Source organism: Homo sapiens, chromosome 9 (genome assembly GCF_000001405.40).
Source record: "Homo sapiens chromosome 9, GRCh38.p14 Primary Assembly".
Lineage (NCBI taxonomy): Eukaryota > Metazoa > Chordata > Mammalia > Primates > Hominidae > Homo > Homo sapiens.
In genome coordinates this window covers 111,631,308-111,654,723 of record NC_000009.12, presented here as the reverse complement: position 1 = coordinate 111,654,723, position 23,416 = coordinate 111,631,308, and the positions used below count along the sequence as shown (strand labels likewise).

Genomic DNA, 23,416 nt, shown 5'->3' with positions numbered 1-23,416 from the left:
TAATTCAGCTCTGTACCTTCTCCACACTCCTCCAACAGAATAGATGCATAAAACACTTTCATCTAAAGTTTACAAAAATATAAATAATTTTAGAGCTGCAAAAGGGCCCTAGTGATAATCTGGTCGGACTCTTCCCCAAGTTTATAATTGAGCCAACTGAAGTCCTCGCAGATTAACTACCTTGCCTCAGGTCTTTGTCTACGTTAGCAAGAGCCTTCCTGCTCTGTCTCACATTGACTGGGGCTAAGCTCTCAAAACAACTAGCTTACTTTAGCTAGAAACAGACTCTGCATATCAACTATGCTATATTAATCTTTAAAAATTATATAAAAGCAATTTTAATGTTTCATTTAAAACGTCATATCAACAAACTTGTGATATATTGTAACCATTTTATTAATATGAAGCAATGGGATAAATCCTTTAACAGGGGTACTGATTTACTACCGTGAATATGTACCAACACTTTGGTGCAGTATCATGCCTGATTCAGTCAAATAATGTGTTATTTACTTGCACTGCCACACATGTGAAAACACATTTCATTGGTTGACAGAAGAGCACACAGCCATGTACCTCGTTTCTGGCTTAAATGCATAGAAATGTTCTCATGTACAACGGATTTTTCACCACTCAAGGACTTCATAATAGATGAACAACTTTTCAATACACTATTTCTGCCTTGCTATTTTTTTTTTTAAGTGAAGAGAGAGGGGAAAAAACCAATACTGTGGTACAAAAGACCTTTTTACAAGGTCCTTTCTGGAGAAATGTTGAGAATACAGTTATAGTCCTATAATAAGACTATAATCAAGATCATCCTACAAGGACGTGAGGGTAGACTCACTCTCCTGGAGAGTTTCTGATCTTATTAAGACTATTATATTTGACTGGCTTTAAAAACAAAGAATATTATAATGAATAGAGGGGAGAAATTCTAGCAGAAGACTTTCCTAGAGAGGTTATTTTGAACGTATTTCAATCCTATAATGACTGCAATGAAAACGACATGTTAGGTCATTCTACTGCAGAAGTTTGTGTCCAGAAACACACTCATGATAATATAATTAAATGCTGTTTTTGGTGTTTTGTGAAAATACAGAGGCCATGAAAGCAGAAAAATGTAGCACTATTACAAACAGTAAGGTAACATTCTCAAAGAATAAACACATAACACATAAAATTTTTAAATGGTATCTAATAAATTTTCATGTCAAATCTTTTAACTAAACATATAAAAATTTTAAATGGCAACTAATAAATCTTCATGTGAAATCTTTTAACAAAATCCACAAATAGATTATAAAAATTGAACAATCATAAATGTCTTATGTATAAAGTTTTAAGGGAAGGTTTAAATTTTGACATTATTCTGTTTAATCAAATACTTGAGGAATTTTAGTTACTGCTGAGCAGCAGTCAATTGATACATTTCTAAAATAATTCAGTTATGAAAATAATATCACAATTAAGGTTTGGCATAGTAGCATTCCATCAATCTTCAGTCATCCACAAATGTTAACCGCCCAGGCCCTTCATTCTTCATCCATCTCCTGTATCTCTTCCATCTGGGGTCATTTGCCAACTTTTTCTTTAATTCTTCCTCTTGTTCTTGCTTGTAGACCTGTAAGTATAAATAACTAGATGACTTCACAATCCAAAGAGGAACATTTGCCATTAGCTTTATGGCATATTTACATTTTTCTAACATAATGTTAGGTAAAAAGTTTCCAGTGAATGTATTGATAACCATTCACCTAAAATACTAAACAATTAAGCATTTTATTTATTTATTTATTTATTTATTTGCAATTTACCATTTTAACATTCAGTGTTAAACATGAAAGAACAACCTGTATAAGAACTAGTAATTTTGTGGCCGGGCGTGGTGGCTCACACCTGTAATCCCAGCACATTGGGAGGCCAAGGCGGGTGGATCACCTGAGGTCAGGAGTTCAAAACCAGCCTGGCCAACATGGTGAAACCCCCGTCTCTCCTAAAAAAAATAGAAAAAATTAGCTGGGCGTGGTGGCACATGCCTATAATCCCAGCTACTTGGGAGGCTGAGGCAGGAGAACTGCTTGAACCTGGGAGGCGGAGGTTGCAGTGAGCTGAGATCATGCCATTGCACTCCAGCCTGGGCAACAAGAGTGAAACTCCATCTCAAATTTAAAAAAAAAGAACTAGTACTTTTTTTTTTTTTTTTTTTGAGACAGGGTCTCTCTTGGTTGCCTAGGCTGGAGTGCAGTGGTGTGATCTCAGCTCACTGCAATCTCTGCCTCCTGGATTCAAGCAATTCTCCTGCCTCAGCCTCCCTAGCTGGGCCTACAGGAGCATGCCACCACGCCCGGCTAATTTTTTTGTATTTTTTTTTTTAGGACAGATGGGGTTTCACCATGTTGGCCAGGCTGGTCTCAAACTCCTGGCCTCAAGTGATCCACCTACCTCGGCCTCCCAAAGTGTTGGGATTACAGGCGTGAGCCACTGCACCCTGCCTAGAACTAGTAATTTTTTGTCACTGATTTCTGTAACCTAGGAATACATTCTTTTCCTCAATGAAAATTGACTGAGTTTAAAGGGCTTAACATTTCCTCTCTACAACTAATGTCTAATATTAAAGAATCAAAACTTTATTTTTTTAATATAGTCTTTGTAAATTTAACTGATGACTTTCAGATTTGGTGATCTTAACCAAGGAACAAAATGACCTTACATACATGTTTATCTCCAAACTGAACTTACACCTACTTTCATCTAATTATGAATTTTTCATTTTTTTAAATTAAAGTTTCCAAAGAAGGTTAAATAAACCACAGAGTTAAAACTTGTGAGAACACAGAACATCTGCATTTATGCAACTTTTTTTTTTTTTTTTTTGAGATGGGGTCTCACTCTGTCATCCAGGCTGGAATACAGTGGCACAATCTTGGCTCACTGTAACCTCCGAGTAGCTAGGACCACAGGCACCACCACGCCCAGTTAATTTTTTGTATTTTCTTGGTAGAGACAGGGTTTCGCCATGTTGCCCAGGCTGGTCTCGAACTCCTGAGCTCAAGCAATCTGCCTGCCTGGGCCTCCCAAAGTGCTGGGATTACAGGCATGAGCCACCGCACCTAGCCTGCAATTCTGTAACTTTTAATGCTGTCAACTAAAGCAAAATGAACAAGCTGTCTTAGCCAGTTTCACAGCCACATCAAATTTTGGAAAGAAATTATTTTACTTCCAAATATTAGGAAGTAAAGACTAAGACAACTTCATACAATAACATATAATTCACCCCACAATAGCACCCTAAGAAAGACACAGTTTTGCAGATTGAGCTGCTTTACCTTCTTAAAAAAGAAAACTTTTAAACTTTTAAAAAAGTACTTAAAAGAACAAGCTTTTCAAATAGTTTAGGAGCTAACTGGCTAACTGGTACGCTGTAACTAAATAACATTTTTTTTTTTTTTTTTTTTTTGAGATAGAGTCTCACTCTGTTGCTCAGGCCAGAGTGCAGTGGTACAATCTTGGCTCACTGCAACCTCTGCCTCCCTGGTTCGAGTGATTCTCCTGCCTCAGCCTCCCGAGTAGCTAGGATTACATGCACGCACCACCAGGCCCAGCTAATTTTTTTGTATTTTGAGACAGGGTTTCACTATGTTGGCCAGGCTGGTCTTGAACTCCTGATCTCAAGTGATCCACCTGCCTCGACCTCCCAAAATGCTGGGATTACAAGTGTGAGCCACCACACCCAGCCCTAAATAACACTTTTATGAACAGGTATACTTGGTAAAACATCGGGCAATTCACAGTAAGTTAATTTACATAAATATAATTCAGACCAAAACTTTAATTTCAGTGAAATCTATTTAGGACATCACATACAAAATGAAATGACTATGAAACTAAAAAAACTAATGTATCTCAGACTTCTTAAGCAGGTTTTGGCTGGGTGCAGTGGCTGATGCCTGTAATCCCAGCACTCTAGGAGGTCAAGGTGGGCAGATTGCTTGAGCTCAGGAGTTTGAGACCATCCTAGACAACATGGCAAAACCCCAACACTATATGATAAAAATAAGAAAGAAAACAAAAAGGTTTCACTGTGCTCTATTCTTATATTTAACATAATAGCCAATGAATTTTATCCTGAATCTAAAACAGTGTCATTATGATAATGAGACTGCTAATCCCTTTAACATGATGGCTAGGTAGCGGATCACCTCGAAGTAATTTTTGTAGGTGACAACTGTAGCATAAAGCATTTATTAAAATGCCTGAAAGTTTAGAGGCATTACAGTAATTCGATTTAATTTAAAAGTAAAACAAAAGTAACTTTCTATAGATGTCAGTTATTACGCAGAATATCTTGTGCTCAATTATTTTGAAATGAAGTCATCTCAACAAAATTTCCACGTCTTACTCTGTTGTTTTTTTTTTTTTTTAAGTCTCTGTGGCTAGGTTTACAGTATTGGAAGAAAACTTGGGAAGGGCCAAATTTTAGTGCAGTTACCCAAAAGTTGTTGTAACACCCTTGCAAACATGCATATCATTCCAATGCAGTTTAACATTCTTAAAACGTTTTCATAATTTGTTGATTAAAGTATTTGAAGTTCATCCTCTAAAAAGAGAAATTACAGGTTAAAAACCCACCGTCTCACTACCAAATAGAGTCCTACTTTCAATAAAAGGTCTTTACTAATTGTTTAACTCTAGGATTTCAGAAATGTGAGCACACTTCTGTGATCCCTCATTATAATACACCTGATTTTAACTTGGTCAGGTGGATGACACTTAAATCACAGCAGGGTGACTACTCACCTCATAATTCTCCTTGATCCAGAGCTCTCGTTTAAGAAAAGTTTCTTTCTGATGATCTTCTAGACTATCAAATTGAGACTTTGACATCTTCATAGATTTACGTATAATGTATAATCTCTCTTCCTCTCCATATTCTTTGCCTTTGATGTTAAAATTATAGATCCACCGACAATACCAAACTATATATGAGCATAGGTGAAAAGGAGCTAAGATAATTTGAAACAGGAGAAGATCACAGATTTGGGGTTTCTGATAGCCCCCCTTTATATCTATTTTACTTTTTATAATGTTCTTTATGATGTTCTCCTCCTCGTCACGAATTTCTTCTTTGGACTTTTTGTTTTTGCCTTTTTCTTTGGCTTTTTTGAGCAGTCCCTGCTGCTTGGCAATCTCTGTAGCTTGGATACGGTACTTGGGCACTGTGGCTAGGTAGCTGATTGCCTTATTGTAGCTATTCCACCAGCTGAAAAACTAGAATAATTAACAGAGAACAATGAGTCATTTTCATTACCCAAATTCATCTAAATTAAAGGAATGATAGAGTCTCGGTGAATACCATCTCCCAAGAAACCATTACAATTAAAAATAGGGATCTCAAAGATCTTACTTTGTAAGTAAAAGACACAACTGAACGAAGCCCATGCGTACACAGGATCTGAAGGCTGGATAAGTAAGGTAAACTCTGAGCTGAGCCAAAAATCACTGCTGCAGTCAGTGACCCAAGGTCAAAGGCTAATCAATGTATCATACCACACCTGTGGTTCGTATCTTTACCATTTGGCTCTTCCCTAGATCACTTTAAAAAATTTTTTTTCTTTTTTTTTAAACAGCAACCTACTTACTAGAGAAAGAGTTAAATGGCAAAATCTAGCTGGTGAGGAATTTGTTTAAAAAACTCATAGTGTATAGACTCAGGCAACTACATTCATTCCCATCTCTTTTCCTAAGCCAATCTGCATATATCACAGTGGCACTCATCCTATTCTGATGCGAGACTCAAATATGGTTGAACTCTACCTATTTGGACAGGAGAACATTAACTTACTTCATAAATGTATTCAACCATAAAGCATTTGTCAGAAAATGCCCTGCTCCTCACATAGTACCTCCATAAATTTCAGCTCCTGATTAACTGAATGAATATAGCAGACATACAAATAATACCCTGCAATAGTAGCAATCTATTAAGAATATTTTTTTAAAAGTTACTACAGTATTAGATTGTTTAAAACAAAAAAGTAAAATTATCCCTGCTCTCCCCTTTGAAAGGGTAAATCGTTCTACAAATGCTGACACATTTTAAACATACCACCTTAGTTTCCAATGTAGTTTTTATTCATAAAAATTGAATGTCGGCCAAGTGCAGGGGCTCATGCCTGTAATCCCAGCACTTTGAGAGGCTGCGGTGAGTGGATTGCTTGAGCCCAGGAGCTCGAGACCAGCCTGGGCAACACGGCAAAACCGTGTCTCTACCAAAAAAAAAAAAATACAAAAATTAGCCAGGTGTGGTGGCACATGCCTGTAGTCCCAGCTATGCAGGAGGCTGAGGTGGGAGGATCGCCTGAGCCCAAGAAGTCAAGGCTACAGTGAGTCATGATCACTCCACTGCACTCCAGTCTGGGTGACAGAGTGAGACTCCATCTCTAAAAAAAAAAAAAACTGAATCGTTTCTGGGAATGAAACTGGAGAAGTAATTTTCAAACAAGCAGATTGCTTCATTCTAGTCATTTGACTTGTTCATTTCCTTTAAAGGAGCATGTGATAGGAATGGCTAGTTTAATAACAGGGAAAACTTATTTCAGGCAGAAGTTAAATTTTTGTGATACTTTACAACATAAAAAGTTCCTGGCCGGGCACAGTGGCTCACGCCTGTAATTCCAGCACTTTGGAAGGCCGAGGCAGGAGGATCACGAGGTCAGGAGTTTGAGACCATCCTGGCCAACATGGTGAAACCCCGTCTCTACTAAAATACAAAACACTAGCCGGGTGTGGTGGTGCGCGCCTGTAGTCCCAGCTACTCAGGAGGCTGAGGCAGGGGAATCGCTTGAACCCAGGAGGCGGAGGTTGCAGTGAGCCGAAATTGTGCCACTGCACTCCAGCCTGGCAACAGAACGAGACTCTGTCTCAAAACAAAAACAAAAACAGAAAGTTCCTATGCCTCTTTTAATCTATTTCAGTGGTTTTCAACCTGAGCAGAAGCACCCTTAAAGGGGCACACAGAAATGCATGGGACATTTCTGGTTGTTACAATAATGATGGCAAGCACTACTGGCATTTGGTGACTGGTGCCAGGACTTGTTAGGCCAGGTTAAGGAATTCAGATTTCTCCCAAGTTTAATGGTAAGTCATGGAAAAGTCCTACAGAGGTAAATGATATGAATTAGCTGACGTTCACTCTGGCTATTATGTAGAAAATACTCCAGAGGGAACAATGAAAAAGGGTCTGGATTTTTGAGGGGTTGTTTTGTAGTAGTAATGACATTCTTCAACAATTTCTTAGATTTGCCACTGACAAAGATTCCAACATTGCCAATGACTAAAACAGATCTCAACTAGAAGTAAAATTTTACAAGAAGATACTCGCAGTTAGGTTTTAATGACTAGCACTAGGCAATGTGCACTCAATGCACATAAATGTAGATAAAAATATCCATTGATACATACCTGAAACACCGAAATAGCACACACGCTGACCAAAATCACTACTCTAACATCCACCTTAGGGGCCAAGCGCCTGCTATAGTAGTGGTAGTAATGGCTGTAGTACTCTTCTGGATGATCCAGCATGTAATCATAATCTTTTCGTGTTTCTTCATCCTGTAAAATGACAAGATATCCAACTTCATAGGACAGTCCATTAAATGGCCTTAGTTTATAATCTGTTAAATCACATATAGAATTTTATAATTATGTAAGGTTAATCTGAGTAAAAATACTGAAATTGTCAAAATCAAAAAATTTCCCATTGCTCTTCAAAGCCATGTAAATTTTCAGAACTTCAATGTTAGATATAAAAGCATAACAAAAATACTTCTCTAAGTTCTTGAGTATTGTTAGTCCTCCTGGAAAAATAAAAACACTTATTAACCATTCAGCCTTTTTAGCTGATGCTTGGTGCTAATAAAAGCCTGTTCACAACTACTCTTAACTGTTGATTTTTTTTTAATGCTTATTTCTTGTATATATTCACAATCACGTCCCAGCCTTGTATAGATAGTTTTCTGCTAAAAGCAAAAACTAGGTGAAGCCAGTCTGTGCCTACAAAACTGAATTATGCCCATCCCAAAGAAACACTGAGACACCCATGCAGCCCAACGGTCAAAGTCTAGCTTTATGACCTTAGATAAAATATTTAGCCTCTCTGAGCCTCCTCCTTCTTCATTCACAAAAAGAGCTAACAATCCCTGTTGTTGTGAATATCAAATAACAAACATTATACAAAAACATGTTACAAACATGTAGTACTTCATCACTATAATATGTTGTCCAGCCCAGGTCACAAATGAGGTAACATATAGATCTTCCTTACCGATACCAACTCCTTGAAAGAATTATAGCATTCCAAAATGCTGCTCTGTATGTTCACAGATAAAACATTTAAAAAAATATATTCTCTGATTCTAATCAATTTCTAACAGGGATAAATGCAATGTTGTACTGAGCTATGCAGGTTGCAGAGTTATTAAACCAGGTCACGATTTGTTCTTTATCTCACAGGAAACCTATTACATTTTCCAACTTGCCCCATTTTCAAAAAAATTAAAGATAAAAACTATTATAAAATCAAAACAAATTATTTAATCTCTATATATGAGTATAATAAAAACCATTACAAAAACAAAAGTCTGTTTTGCCAGGTGTGGTGACTCATGCCTGTAATCCCAACACTTTGGAAGGCCAAGGCGGGAGGATTGCTTCAGCCCAGGAGTCTGAGATCAGCCTGGGCAGCATAGTGAGACCTTGTCTTTACAAAAAATAAAAAAAATTGTATTTGCACAGGGCATGGTGGCATGTGCCTATAGTCCCAGCTTCCCAGGATGTTCCCCAGGTGGGAAATCACTTATGTGATCATGCCATCACACTCCAGTCTGGGCAAGACAGCAAAACCCTGTCTCCAAAAAAAAAAGTTTTTTTTATCTTAGAGGAATGAATTATTCAACATTTATTAACTGCAGATTCCTAGCTAAAGGCATTTCAAAATCTAAACTTAGTGCCTTGCTACTGCAGACAGATTCTCTGGGGTCTGTTTAGGATCACCTTCTGAGTCCTCCAACATGTAGTTTTTTAGATTTAAAGTAAGAAATTTGTTAATGACTAAATCTTGCTTGTATCCATTAAAATCATTACGTATTTTCTATTAAGAATTTTGGGCCGGGCACAGGCGCTCACTCCTGTAATCCCAGCACTTTGGGAGGCCAAGGCAGGCAGGTAACTTGAGGTCAGGAGTTCGAGACCAGCCTGGCCAACATGGCAAAATCCCATTTCTACTGAAAATACAAAAATTAGCCAGTCGTGGTGGCTTGTGCTTATAATCCCAGCTACTCGGGAGGCTGAGGCAAGAGAATCACTTGAACCTGGGAGGTGGAGGTTGCAGTGAGCCGAGACTGTACCACTGCACTCCAGCCTGGGCGACAGAGCGAGACTCTGTCTCCAAAAAAAAAAAAAAAATTTTGAATCTGTGTGAGATCATTCTCAGTAAGTTCTCCCATATTCATTACATTCAAACAATTTCTTACCTCTCACCAGTATATGAAACGATGTAAACTAGTAGCTAGCTTAATTAGATACGAATATATTTATATGGAGGGCCAATATGAAAACTCTCAGTTATACAACGAGGTGTGAGCTCAAGCTAGTATTATTTTCAGATTCACTCCTTGTATGTTCTCTTCAGTCAAAAAGGATTTTCTTGTGGCAGCTGCTATATGCCTCAACTGTCAATCCGTGACTCCTTCTTTAAGTCATCATCCTATTCCAGAGCTCCTAACCTAGAAAGGGTAAACCTATATAAGGATCACACAGACAGCGCTGAAGACTAAAGCCTGTGTCTCTTCATGTGTCTCCTTTTGAGTACCTCAAGAAATCATCTGAGAATTTTCCCATTCTCCCTCTGCTTTTTGGGCTAATTTTATAGAAATGCCGTTTTGGCGCCTTAAATCCTTGACTTTAACTCGGCATCCCAATCATGACAGATGCCTTTTGAAACGTATTTCTTCAAGTACAATTCTTCTTGCTACAACTAGATTACATGTAGCTTTTAAACGAAATGCCACACGGAGATCAGACTCCTATGAGCCTCATTGTCTCTGTGCAGCCCTTTGCCCCGGCTGTCTGCACTCCTCCTGGTTGAAGTATATGGAGTAAGGTCTTGGAGTGTCGTTGAAATCTGGTAAGCGGACATCATGTGTCCAGTGACTATCTTCTCTTTTTGTTCTCTTATCTCTGTTCTACAGAACGTAGATATCATCCCTCTTCAAACATTTCACTCAGATCTTTCACCAGGGTCACCATTTTCTCACTGGTTTCTAGATTATTGACTTTACCAAGTCCTGAATTCCTTTAACACAATGGTCAACTAATGCTCCAACACAAGCAACTCCAAAATTTATACCTTGTGTCTGGCCTCTCTACTGCAAGCAGAGCCTGTGCAATCTGTTCAAGGTCCCCTAATGGAGTCCTCAAACTACCAAATTCCTGCAAGACATCTCAGGGTCAAGTCTGACTTCTCTTTGGATGGTTTTCTTTTCTTTAGGGTCACCACAAATTTATGACCCTGTTTTGGCCATGATTAGACTAAAAAGTTGGCCACTTCCTCGTTACAGCATTTATTCAACTTATTTTATCTCCATTCTAGGGCTTAAAGCTTTCTCTCCAAAATGAAGAAAATGATCAGTTTTCATGCATACTGATGATGATCAGTGAGGCATGCATATACTTTAGAATCAAGAGCAGCACAAATAGGTAAAACTTAGGAGTTCTCAACAGCCTAAGTCAAAATTCTGCTCTTTAGTAACCTACAAAGTTTAGAATCAACCTAGTAAGAACAAGAGGATACCAAGAATATTAGCAAAGAAAAGACATAATAAGAAGGACCATCCTTCTGGGACTCAAGTAGAAAGCTAAGGTACATTCTTATTTTTTTCGTACTCATCTTGAACTAAGGTAGCCACACAATTTTTTTTTTTTTTTTAATCTCCAGTGCTTTCCCATGGCCAAAGTTAAAATTTCCTTTGCATGCCACCAGGCCTTCACAACTGGTCCAAACTTACCTACCTAGCAACATCCCTTATCAGTTTCCCCTCTTTTACCCATAGCAAACATTCAGACAGCAATTTCTGGAATTTGGTGTGTTATTCCAACACAATGTTCCTTTTCATACCTATGTCTTCAAATGTCTATTTCTCTCTAATTTGAACCTCATGAGTCCTATTAATCCTTTAGAATGTAAACATTACTGCCCCAGACAGTTGGATCGTTCTTATTACACTTGGTACCTATTTATTATAGCACTTATCACATTGTAATCATCAGTTTTTTTCTTTTCTTAGAATGAGAAGTTCTGGAAAGTAGGTAGGGTAACTCCAAGGCCTAGTACAGTGCCTGGCATTCAGTAAACATTATTTCAAAAACGAGTGAACTTTTGTGAAGGTTTTTCCTTGCAATATGCATCTCTCCACTACATAGGTCTCCATCTCACCAGCAAGGCTGGATGGGTGGCGATGTCATAAAAACTTCAGTTTGGCAGAAGTGACTGCTTGAATTCATAGTTTATGAAAATATGCTACTGTGGCTAACATAGCTTAAACCTTAAAACAGTTTAATATCTTACCTTTCAATAAGGTAGTACTTTTTCTTTCAGCAATTTTGTGGATCTTAAGGTCCCAGGGTCTGGAGATTCCAACTTCTTTCCAAAACCAAAACCTTTATACTTGTTTCTTCCTCCTGTCTGTCCTGAGCCTTGACAAGCAGGGCAATAAGCTCCTTGTTTCTAATCTCTACAGGAATAACTGTGGTGCTTCTGCTGGTGTCCATTCCACTCCCAATCCTCTTGGGCATATGCAGGAGGACTGGAACATAACCAATATCTAGATCAAAAGTGAACAAGAGGAAACCCACAAGCAAAGAAAGTACTGAATCCTTCCTTCTCTTAAAGGGTCATCCCCCCTCCCCAGAGGCAAAAATATATTATGTTCCTGCCCTTGAAGGAAATCATGAATTGTTTGATCTCAGTACATAAATTGTAATAATTTGATATTGCAGCTAGTTTTACATTTATTTTTTATTTATTTATTTATTTATTTATTTATTTATTTATTTATTGATAATTCTTGGGTGTTTCTCACAGAGGGGGATTTGGCAGGGTCATGGGACAATAGTGGAGGGAAGGTCAGCAGATAAACAAGTGAACAAAGGTCTCTGGTTTTCCTAGGCAGAGGACCCTGCGGCCTTCCGCAGTGTTTGTGTCCCTGGTTACTTGAGATTAGGGATTGGTGATGACTCTTAACGAGCATGCTGCCTTCAAGCATCTGTTTAACAAAGCACATCTTGCACCGCCCTTAATCCATTTAACTCTGAGTGGACACAGCACATGTTTCAGAGAGCACAGGGTTGGGGGTAAGGTCACAGATCAACAGGATCCCAAGGCAGAGGAATTTTTCTTAGTGCAGAACAAAATGAAAAGTCTCCCATGTCTACTTCCTTCCACACAGACACGGCAACCATCCGATCTCTCAATCTTTTCCCCACCTTTCCCGCCTTTCTATTCCACAAAGCCGCCATTGTCATCCTGGCCCGTTCTCAATGAGCTATTGGGCACACCTCCCAGACGGGGTGGTGGCCGGGCAGAGGGGCTCCTCACTTCCCAGTAGGGGCGGCCGGGCAGAGGCGCCCCTCACCTCCCGGACGGGGCGGCTGGCCGGGCAGGGGGGCTGACCCCCCCCACCTCCCTCCCGGACGGGGCGGCTGGCCGGGCGGGGGGCTGAACCCCCCACCTCCCTCCCGGACGGGGCGGCTGGCTGGGCAGAGGGGCTCCTCACTTCCCAGTAGGGGCGGCCGGGCAGAGGCGCCCCTCACCTCCCGGACGGGGCGGCTGGCCGGGCGGGGGGGCTGACCCCCCCCACCTCCCTCCCGGACGGGGCGGCTGGCCGGGCAGAGGGGCTCCTCACTTCCCAGTAGGGGCGGCCGGGCAGAGGCGCCCCTCACCTCCCGGACGGGGTGGCTGGCCGGGCAGGGGGGCTGACCCCCCCCCCACCTCCCTCCCGGACGGGGCGGCTGGCCGGGCGGGGGGCTGACCCCCCCACCTCCCTCCCGGACGGGGCGGCTGGCCGGGCGGGGGGCCGACCCCCCCACCTCCCTCCCGGATGGGGCGGCTGGCCGGGCGGGGTCCGACCCCCCCACCTCCCTCCCGGACCGGGCGGCTGGCCGGGCAGAGGGGCTCCTCACTTCCCAGTAGGGGCGGCCGGGCAGAGGCACCCCTCACCTCCCAGACGGGGCGGCTGGCCGGGCGGAGGGCTGACCCCCCCACCTCCCTCCCAGACAGGGCGGCTGGCCGGGCGGGGGGCTGACCCCCCCACCTCCCTCCCGGATGGGGCGGCTGGCCGGGCAGAGGGGCTCCTCACTTCCCAGTAGGGGCGGCCGGGCAGAGGCGCCCCTCACCTCCCAGACGGGGCGGCTGGCCGGGGGGAGGGCTGACCCCCCCACCTCCCTCCCGGACGGGGCGGCTGGCCAGGCGGGGGGCTGACCCCCCCACCTCCCTCCCGGATGGGGCGGCTGGCCGGGTGGGGGGGCTGACCCCCCCATCTCCCTCCCGGACGGGGTGGCTGGCCAGGCTGAGGGGCTCCTCACTTCCCAGTAGGGGCGGCCGGGCAGAGGCGCCCCTCACCTCCCGGACGGGGCGGCTGGCCGGGCGCGGGGCTGACCCCCCCACCTCCCTCCCGGACGGCACGGCTGGCCAGGCGGGGGGCTGACCCCCCCACCTCCCTCCCGGACGGCACGGCTGGCCGGACGGCACGGCTGGCCGGGCGGGGGGGCTGACCCCCCACCTCCCTCCCGGATGGGGCGGCTGGCCGGGCGGGGGGCTGGCCCCCCCCACCTCCCTCCCGGACGGGGTGGCTGCCGGGCGGAGACGCTCCTCACTTCCCAGATGGGGTGGCTGCTGGGCGGAGAGGCTCCTCACTTCTCAGACGGGGCAGCTGCCGGGCGGAGGGGCTCCTCACTTCTCAGACGGGGTGGTTGCCAGGCAGAGGGTCTCCTCACTTCTCAGACGGGGCGGCCGGGCAGAGACGCTCCTCACCTCCCAGACGGGGTCTCGGCCGGGCAGAGGCGCTCCTCACATCCCAGATGGGGCGGCGGGGCAGAGGCGCTCCCCACATCTCAGACGATGGGCGGCCGGGCAGAGACGCTCCTCACTTCCTAGATGTGATGGCGGCTGGGAAGAGGCGCTCCTCACTTCCTAGATGGGATGGCGGCCGGGCGGAGACGCTCCTCACTTTCCAGACTGGGCAGCCGGGCAGAGGGGCTCCTCACATCCCAGACGATGGGCGGCCAGGCAGAGACGCTCCTCACTTCCCAGACGGGGTGGCGGCCGGGCAGAGGCTGCAATCTCGGCACTTTGGGAGGCCAAGGCAGGCGGCTGGGAGGTGTAGGTTGTAGTGAGCCGAGATCACGCCACTGCACTCCAGCCTGGGCACCATTGAGCACTGAGTGAACGAGACTCCATCTGCAATCCCGGCACCTCGGGAGGCCGAGGTTGGCGGATCACTCGCGGTTAGGGGCTGGAGACCGGCCCGGCCAACACAGCGAAACCCCGTCTCCACCAAAACCAATCAGGCGTGGCGGCGCGTGCCTGCAATCGCAGGCATTCGGCAGACTGAGGCAGGAGAATCAGGCAGGGAGGTTGCAGTGAGCCGAGATGGCAGCAGTACAGTCCAGCTTCGGCTCCGCATGAGAGGGAGACCATGGGGAGACGGAGACGGAGACGGAGACGGAGACGGAGAGGGAGAGGGAGAGGGAGAGGGAGAGGGAGAGCTCCTCCTTGCCTTTAAAGTGACTCCCACTGAGTGTCCTAGTTTTACATTTAAAACTTTCTATTACATAGAGTATAAAAACCATCTTTGGGGTGGTGAAGGTCAGGAATCAATGATATATGAAAATGTATTACTGTATTCACTCAATATATATTAATCTTACTATTTTTTTTTAAATCCACACACACACACCCATACACACACACACACACATTTTTTTGAAATGATCCTTCAAAAAAAAAAAACAACCTCTAGTCTAAATTTTTTTCCAGGCCATTATATCCTATAAAAGAGGGAGAAAATTAACTGCTACCCATTTCATTTTTTTCTTGTTTCCTGCCCACTAGTCACTAGTGCAACTTATCTTCTTCTCTATCTTCTCTTCTCATTCTGCACATAGTCTCAAAAACTTCCATGATTTGGAATATTACCTACATACTAGTAATGCTTGTAACTGTTTTTCTTGCCTCCTCCTATTCTCAACTATGTCCTGAACATTTTCTAAATGCAACATAAATATCTCAAACTCAACATGCTCAAAAACCAATCTATCCCTCTGTGTATCAGTTAATACTATCAGCATCTACTTAGTCACTTGAGCTTTTAAAAACTTTAGTTGTTTTCATTTCAAAAATGATGATGCAGGGCATTAGGCCTTGTATTGAGCACAAAAAGAGAATAAAAGACAAGACAGGTCCGTGGCCTCAAGAACCCTCCATCTAGAAGAAGAATCTAGCAAGCAAGAAAAGCACAACTGAGTGTGCTAAGGAACAAGGGGCTGACTGTCTAAAAACACTAGCAATGGGATTCACAACAGAAGGGAAATGGGGGCTGGATCTCGGAAACAAGTAAGGTATAATGAAACTTGTTTCAGGCAAAGGAAACAGCAAGTGTTAAGGGTATAAAAGTATCAAAAAATATCATGGATTCAGGGAAGCTTGAGCATTGGGGAAATTTAGGAAGAAACGAGTAGTAAATATAGCTAGGAAGGCAAGTTTGGATAAGGACTGTTGAGGATCTTGTATGCTGCACCAAAGAGTTAGGATGTTATCAACTGTGCTATTCAAAAACAAAAATGTTTCCAAGTATGAGAACAATAGCATTATGTAGAAGTATATATTTCTGAAAGACAATTCTGGCAGTATTGCAAAAAGTCGAATGAGGGAGAAACAGATTTTAGCAGCTAAGAAAAAGAATAGGACTTGGTAAGTAAAGGGGTACACAAGAATCAAAGGAGATGTTGAACATGATACCAAAGTTTTTAATTAGAGTTACTACGTAGACAATGTTACTCACTAAGATAATGAATACAGGAAAAAAAACAGCAAGTTTGGAGAAGATGCAAGGAAAACTTGTGGAAGATTTTGAACTAGGAAGAAAAAAAATTACTAGCTATCCTTTCAATTTCTGGATCCTCAAGGATTATCTATTCCTGCAGAGGAGTGCACCTTTGTCTTTGACTAACCTATTTTAACTCTAGAGACAGAAGTAACTTGTAGAAAACTGGAAATAATGCAAATGACTCCTATTCACAGAAAGACAAATTATGTCCGTGGAATGCAACACATTATTGCTTGGTAGGTATTTTCCAGTTTTACAGGCATTTCAGCATTCCCTATCTGATTAAAAATGTTGGCACTTTTTCTCTTTCAACTAGTTTTAGTATCTTACTGGTTCCCTCATTGATTAATATGTTAAATAAAATCTCTGACACATGTTCATTCTGTATTTGTGAGAGTCATAATTATATCTTCTTTTGAAGTTTATGCTTTCACAAAGATAAGACTGATTTCAGACATGTTTAATTGCGGGTACCTGTGCTACAGAGGAGAGGCAGCTGAAAATATGAGCCTGGAGAACATGCAGGTTTTAGAGCTGTCAGCTTAAAAGCAGTGGCTTAGGTCAAGGATACAGTTGAGTTTCATCAGGAAGAGCTTAGAAAATAAAAAAGAAAAGAGTACACAAAGGAGAACTCAACAGAATAGCAATGCTTAAGGGGTAGATAGTAGAAAAGACGATAAAGACTGAAAAGAAATGGCGAGGACAGGAGAAACAGACAAAGATCACGTCAAGGAAGTCAGGGAAGAACACCTTAAAGAACGAAATGGTCAGCAATATCACATGACACAAAGTTCCAGGAGGAGGAAGAAATGAAGAGCAGTCAATCTGATCAGATCTGGTGAGTAGAGTGTCACTGTTCACCTCAACAAGAACAGTTCCAACACATGTGCTGCTGCACACGCCAGTCTATGACAGCTTGAATGAAAGGGAGATGAGAAAGTAAAGACAGTGAACACCAAAGAAAGGAAAAAATGTAAGTGTAGTTTTAAAGGAAGCAAAATGAAGCGAAAGGAGTGGGAAATGAACCAAGTAGGAGATTTTCAAGTTGCCAAAGAGGAATGACAGAAGAAGATTCCAGAAGAAGAATGACAGAAGAAGACAGTGTAAGTAAAATGAGTTCAGTCAAGAATACCTTTTTGCCCTCCCCAAACCATTCTCAAAATTGCTCCCAGAGTTTTCTTCCTAAAACAAACGTAAGATTGTGTCATTTCTCCACTTTAAAACTTCTGGTAACTATTCAATACATAAAGTTCCGATTCCTGAACACAACTTAAGGGGTCCTTCATCATCTGATCCCAAACTATGTTCCAGTATCCTGCAACATTCTCCCTCCCACGGCACCTCGCAGGCTCCCAACCTAGAAATAGCAGATCCCCTAAAGTCTATGAAAAACAGTAAGGGTCTTTGCACTCCTGTGAATATCTCAAAATGTTCCATTTACCTACGATAAATCTGTACAAGCTAAATTAAAATGTCTAGTACTCAGTTTCTGGCTAGTATTATATCAAGTCAGTAGTTTTCAGGTTGATTAAGAACTCTGATTGGTTGTTGATTACATCATGTCAGCCAGTCATGGCACCAGGATCAAACACAGCTAGTATATAATCACCCTTGGCCATAAGTAGGGAGTAACCACTGAAATTAACGAACCAGTAAAAACTAACATTTACGGGTTCACAGCAGAAATAGTAAATGTGGTACATACACTACCACATCATTTTTCCAGGGCCATGGGAAACATTACTATCAAATATGTTACTCTTTCCCACTAAACCCAGAAAAGGTCTCAAAACTCTTAAAAGGTAAGAGTTTTGTTCCAGGTAATCATGACCAATCAGGATTGGCATATGAAATGGAAACTATATGCCATCTGTGGACTATAAATTAACTTAATTTGGTTGTTTATCAGCATCACACCTAAAATAGAAATTTATATAATTTTAGGGTTCGGTGCATGTGCCAGTAATCGCAGCTATTTGGGAGACTGAGGCAGGAGGACTGCTTGAGCATAGGATTTCAAGACCAGCCTGGGCAACACAGTGAGACCCTGTCTCAAAAAAGAAAGCAATTTATATAATTATAAAATATTTTTATGATTATTCGATTACTATGAATGACTGATTAAATACAATCTGGGAAATGTTGAAAAAGAATAGTAATACATGCAGTTCATTTTTTCCCCAAAACAGAGTCCCTGGGACAAATACCATAAAACTGATCCTTGGTGGAGAAAATGCTCATTACTATAATACCTCATGAAACTACATCTCATTCCTGGAACAAGCCTTGCACACTCATGACTCTATGTTTCTGTTGATCAAGTTTCCCCTCTACCAGAAATGTCCTTTCACCATCAACCTTGGTGACTTCGTTCCTGATCAACTCAAAGGGTACATTCTTCTCTAATCCAAGAAGACATAATCACTTCCTCTCAGCACAGCAATATAATCTGCACAGACTTGTATTATATAACTTATATAATAACTGAACAATAAGTATCTGTTTCCCTTGTTATTAAAAACTTTAAGTCAGAAACTGTGTCTTTTCCTTTGTTATGGTCTCCTCCAAGCCCCTATGTCAGTCCCAGTTAAAGAAGGGGTTGAGTAAGAGAATATAAGGAACGAACAATAAACAGAAACGTAACAGGGCAGGGAGTTCAGAATCGTTTTTTGCTAAATTCTTCCTAAGTGCTAAAGCCCTGCCACATCAGACTGGTAAAAGGAAACTGAAGTGTTGTTGTAACGCTTCCCTTCCAAGACAAGTCTGGAGTAGAATGACCTCTCTACACATCCTTTCAACTTATCAAATAGCCTTCACCTTCATGCCAGAAATATTCCCAAGACCTTTTCTAGGCTCTTTTCTTGTGATCCTGCAAAATGCCATCAAATTCTACGCTTTTGCATTTTTTACCAATCATAGTTTTTCTAAGTGCATCCTTTCAAGTTGTTCTCTCATCTGCTTATTTCTATGCCATTTCTCATATTTCATGTATTATCCAATTTTTATCTACATTCAAAAATTATCATTCTCACTTAAAAACCCTCAGAACATTAAAAGTAGAAGTGCAATTTTTCTCTCATGCAGGAATTTTTCACTCATAACCGTCCAATTTACTTATCTATACCACTCTTTAAAACTGCAATTAATTTGAGTGAAATGGCAGAGGGCGTTGCACATACCAATGTCAAAATGCCAGAAATCCACTTTCCATTTCCATTCTATCTGAATGCCTCCAGATAAGAGTTTTTATAACATTAATGCTCTGATGTGCCAGACACTGTGCTAGGTGCTATGGATATACGCACAAAAAATGAGGAGCATGGTTTAGTAGGAAAGAGAGACCTACTCAGTACTTAAATGCAGTGTGATAAGTGCTATAGCCACTTTAAAAACATGTAAGTGGGACCAGATTATTCTACCTCATGAGATCCAATGTTGACACAGAGGGTAAGTGTCCACTTGTTTAACTTCCAAAGTCCATAAACTCCCTAAATCCCCAAAAGTCAAACACACTAAATACAACTGCATGGTCTTAGTTTATAAAGCAGTGTGTGAAATCATAATGGTTTGAAGTTTTGCTGAGATCTGGAACTGTAATTTATTTGGGAATCTGAACTAAGCATGACTTGGTGAAAGCATGAGGCCAGTGCCTTTGCCTTCCATTATTACCCACACTTCTTTTTTTTTGGTTTTCCTCCATTTCTCCATGCACAGGTAAAATCTTTTTGCTAAAATAGTGATGATCAAATGTCATATCTTCTTGTCTTACCAACTGTATTTAAGTCATGTTAGTGTACTTATTTTTTAACCACCACCACCTAAAAAAAAAAACAAAACCCCCTCAAAAGGGCATTTATTTGACCAAAACCACCTCAGAATCATAAATCCACTGATGTTTTACATAATTATAGTTTCCATTTTGGTGATGCATTTATTATCAACATTCAGATACAGGCTTCTGCATCCCGTTTTTATTCCAGAGCCACTGGAACTCAGCTTCTCCCACTATTCTATCTGACCTGCTCTTAGCAAACGCCACCTGGACCTTTTATCCTTCACAAACCCTTTTTACAGCCGGAGGATACAATCCAAACAAACAGCCATTACATCTCCATTGCCTCAACGGATAATGTGCAAGGCTGAAGCCCTCCAAATTGGATGACCTCAGTTCATTAAAACCTTGCATTACCCAGAAAACATATTCTTTGGCAACTTCCTCACAATTCTCCGTTATGACAGAAGTTAAAGCAGACCACCCTGTAATAATTGCTCCCACAGACAGCAAGTCAAAGTCCTTATCCTTATTCCAAGAGAGAGCATCTTCAATGAGGTAAATAGTTCTTGGAGGTGCTCCACTTGGAAGATGAATATATGTTCATCTCCATAAATTTAAAATGCAAGTTTTCAAAGAGTTCTGCTGGGTCTGATTTTCCAGGGTCCAAAATATCTCCAGACATCCCTTTTGTCTCACAGATAATTTCCACAGTAAGACAGTGGGCGTTCTGGGGGAGCTACAGAACACTCCCCTCATTCCCTCCTCCACCAGTACAACTCCACTTCCACTCCCCTGTTCCAAGATATTTGTAGCTATCACAAACCCGTCAGAGTCAAGAGTACAAGTGTTACCTACTCCAGACATACTGGTCTTTAACTGCCTAAACGTTCCTTGATCTTGAGTGGATCACTTATTTTATCTAGCTTTTCATTAGCTGACAATGAGTGGTAAACTTTAGGGGTAGAAACCTTTAGAGGCAACCATATAGATTCATCAGATCAGTTCCGGGATGGGGGCACTGATCAGTCTCTCCTGGTGGCCCTCCCAGCAGGAATCTCTACCATCACTATTTCTACCCTCTAATCATGGCACTTGTTTTCAAAGTTCTTACCAACATGCTCACCATTCTCATGCCAAAACTACTCATCTCCACTCCTACAAAGCCCAGCAGAAGGCAACAGCTGGCAGTGTTTCTGCTGCCCTCTCTTCTGGAAGTTCTCCATCTTCCAGAAGATGGGTTGACACAGAGGGTAAGCGTCCACTTGTTTAACTTCCAAAGTCCATAAACTCCCTAAATCCCCAAAAGTCAAACACACTAAATACTATTGCATGGTCTTAGTTTATAAAGCAGTGTGTGAAATCATAATGGGATAACTGATATACAATCCAAATATCACTATCTTTAACCTAATTATCTATATCATCCTAACAACTACTGCATTCCTGACACTCAACCTAAATTCAAGCACCACAACCTTATTACCATCTCGCGCCTGAAACAAATTAACATGATTAACATCCCTAATCCTATCAATTTTACTATCCCTAGTAAATCCCATTATGATTTCACACACTGGTCCAGGGCTCCCTCACGCACCAGCAGGGCTTCTGGCTGACTACAAGGAACAGAGGTTGGAGCTTCATATGCTGAAGTGCCTTGGATGGAGAGTTCTTTCCTATTTTTTCTGGAGTCTTTTTTCCATCACTTTTTACATAATCGGCAACAAAGCCCTTTGGGGCCTCAGCACTTTCCCAGTTCCCCAGCCATCCCTCAGTTAACTGCCAATAAAAATTACAATCTCACTAACGCTAGTGAGAATTTAATGAACTAGGTAAATTAAATTTTACCTAGTTCAATTCACCTAGTTTACCTAGTTCAGGGCCCGCCCCTCCACCACTCATTTTATGACTCCAAATTATCCAAACTGCTCTGGAAGGCATCAATAAAGTTGTTAGCTCCTTGACTATTTTCAGCTCTGGAAAAACAATCTGGAGGAACAATCCAAGGTAAAATTATATCCACTCAAAGTACAATCATTAAAAGCAGGCTACCTGGCAACATAGAAAATTTTGCCTCGGGAAAAAAAAAAAAAGGCTAGAAAAGAAATACTTTACAACTACAATCGCTGACGCATTAGTATGATGGGGCCCTTCAAGCAGTAATACCACCATCAAGTACGATTTATACTTCGTGATGTCCTAGATGGTTTGATTTTTTGCAGTAGTAGAAGAAAACAGCATCGGGCTAAATCTCTCATCCCCACAAGACTCAATAAAACCTGTCAAATGAAATACAAATACATATTCACAAAATATTTCCTACTAGAAATTCTCAGAGTTTTGTACCCAAGTCATTAAGCACCTATTTATGGATCCTATGGAAAGGGGGGCGGTTCGCACACTTATCATTTAATCCCCATAATAACTCTGAGAGGAGGTATCATGGCCTTAATTTTGCATATGAAGAAACAGCTATTTCAACATAATAAGTCACTATCCAAGGTCATACAGGGGTGTCACAGCAAAGACTCACATCCAGCCTTTTGACTGGTGTTCATTGTTCTTCTCAGTGTTTTCTTAGTTCCTTAAACCCAAACTAAGCGTCACCATTAACACTATTTCCAGAAACCAATTTTCTGTCATATCAAACTGATGCGATCACAGTTGTCACTTGATATTCGAGACTTTCCCTGTTGTGGGCTACCCCAGATCCTACTAATAATGATCACCCTGCTTTTCGAATGTGAAATGCACGTTATTAAAATATTTTCACGAAATCGTAAGATGGCCAAAGTTTTGCATAACAATGTCACAAAAAGGAAGAGGGCAAGGAGGCTAGCTGTGCCCCCCAAGGCCCCGTGGGGCCGACTCGGCTCTTTCACAGGGCCACGTGGGAAACGTGAGTATCTTAAAGGTCGCGGTGGTGGCTGTGCTCAGTTTCGGGGTCACAGAGGCCCACGCTCCGCGGACCGGGGTCGGAAGGCGCCGTGGGCTTCCCGCGGCCAGTCTTCGAAGCCCCTCCACGCCCGCAGGCCTCACCTTGAGTGTCTCGTAGGCGGTTGCCACCAGCAGGAAAGCCTCCTCGGCGCTCTGCGGCGTCCGCCCGGGGCCCTCGTCTCCGGGCTGGGGCCGGTAGCGGTCAGGGTGGTAGCGCCGGGCCAGCTGGCGGTAGGCCCGCGCGATCTCCGCCTTGCCCGCCGAGCGGCTCACGCCCAGCACCTCGTAGCAGTCCCGCGTGCCGCAGTAGAGCCCCTCCACCAGGGCCCCCGCGGGCCGCACCAGCAGCAGCGCCGGCAGCAGGGGCGCCAGCAGCATCCACCAGCGCCGGCCGGCAGCCCCGGCTCCCCAGCCGGGAGAGAGCAGCGGCGCCCCCATCCCCAGCCTCGCTGGCGGCTCTGCCACCCCAGCGATTCTGCAGCACTCAGCCGCGCGCCCGGCTAGTCCCGTCTGGCCCCAGCTACACGTCAGCAGCCGA

The 23,416-nt window shown here is 42.7% G+C and overlaps 2 protein-coding genes across 3 annotated transcripts in view, besides 6 other annotated features; both read right to left on the bottom strand.

Annotated features, from left to right (window-relative positions):
- The window catches only part of DNAJC25-GNG10 (DNAJC25-GNG10 readthrough), a 38,893-nt gene extending 15,503 nt beyond the window's left edge, over window positions 1-23,390 (bottom strand). Inside the window, exon 1 of the mRNA NM_004125.4 lies at window positions 22,981-23,390. Coding sequence (NP_004116.2) covers window positions 22,981-23,316 — 336 coding nt within the window. The 5' untranslated portion in view covers window positions 23,317-23,390. The remainder of the gene's footprint in view (window positions 1-22,980) is intronic.
- Window positions 379-23,390, bottom strand: DNAJC25 (DnaJ heat shock protein family (Hsp40) member C25). Of its 2 annotated transcripts, NR_037148.2 has the most exons (5): window positions 22,981-23,390; window positions 11,630-11,867; window positions 7,465-7,617; window positions 4,801-5,271; window positions 379-1,624 (listed from the first exon to the last, which is right to left on the bottom strand). NR_037148.2 is itself a non-coding variant. In NM_001015882.3 (4 exons), exons 1-4 carry the CDS (start codon window positions 23,314-23,316, stop codon window positions 1,502-1,504), a joined length of 1,083 nt encoding a protein of 360 aa, NP_001015882.2. In that variant the 5' UTR covers window positions 23,317-23,390; the 3' UTR covers window positions 379-1,501. The 2 variants fall into 2 exon arrangements, 1 of the variants encoding a protein (NP_001015882.2); NM_001015882.3 differs by lacking the exon at window positions 11,630-11,867.
- Window positions 16,917-17,086: an enhancer, noted in NCBI's record as "experimental_105958 CRE fragment used in MPRA reporter constructs". NCBI's record gives its function as "activates a minimal promoter by MPRAs in K562 erythroleukemia cells, with activity observed for both the introgressed and non-introgressed 9:114400003 variant alleles {active_cell/tissue: K562}" and the evidence as "EXISTENCE:reporter gene assay evidence [ECO:0000049][PMID:34662402]".
- Window positions 17,641-17,935: an enhancer, noted in NCBI's record as "tiled region #12797; HepG2 Activating non-DNase unmatched - State 19:H4K20, and K562 Activating DNase matched - State 8:EnhW". NCBI's record gives its function as "activates a minimal TATA promoter and a strong SV40 promoter by Sharpr-MPRA in HepG2 and K562 cells {active_cell/tissue: HepG2 | K562}" and the evidence as "EXISTENCE:reporter gene assay evidence [ECO:0000049][PMID:27701403]".
- Window positions 19,533-19,677: an enhancer, noted in NCBI's record as "145 bp enhancer 227 fragment used in the MPRA reporter construct; PK_construct_1320". NCBI's record gives its function as "activates an SV40 promoter by MPRA in HepG2 cells {active_cell/tissue: HepG2}" and the evidence as "EXISTENCE:reporter gene assay evidence [ECO:0000049][PMID:23512712]".
- Window positions 19,600-19,611: a transcriptional cis regulatory region, noted in NCBI's record as "FOXA motif; enhancer activity is reduced when this motif is scrambled". NCBI's record gives its function as "necessary for full MPRA enhancer 227 activity {active_cell/tissue: HepG2}" and the evidence as "EXISTENCE:site-directed mutagenesis evidence [ECO:0005528][PMID:23512712]".
- Window positions 22,657-22,706: an enhancer, noted in NCBI's record as "active region_28795". NCBI's record gives its function as "activates an Ori minimal core promoter by ATAC-STARR-seq in GM12878 lymphoblastoid cells {active_cell/tissue: GM12878}" and the evidence as "EXISTENCE:reporter gene assay evidence [ECO:0000049][PMID:35858748]".
- Window positions 23,057-23,346: a silencer, noted in NCBI's record as "silent region_20181". NCBI's record gives its function as "represses an Ori minimal core promoter by ATAC-STARR-seq in GM12878 lymphoblastoid cells {active_cell/tissue: GM12878}" and the evidence as "EXISTENCE:reporter gene assay evidence [ECO:0000049][PMID:35858748]".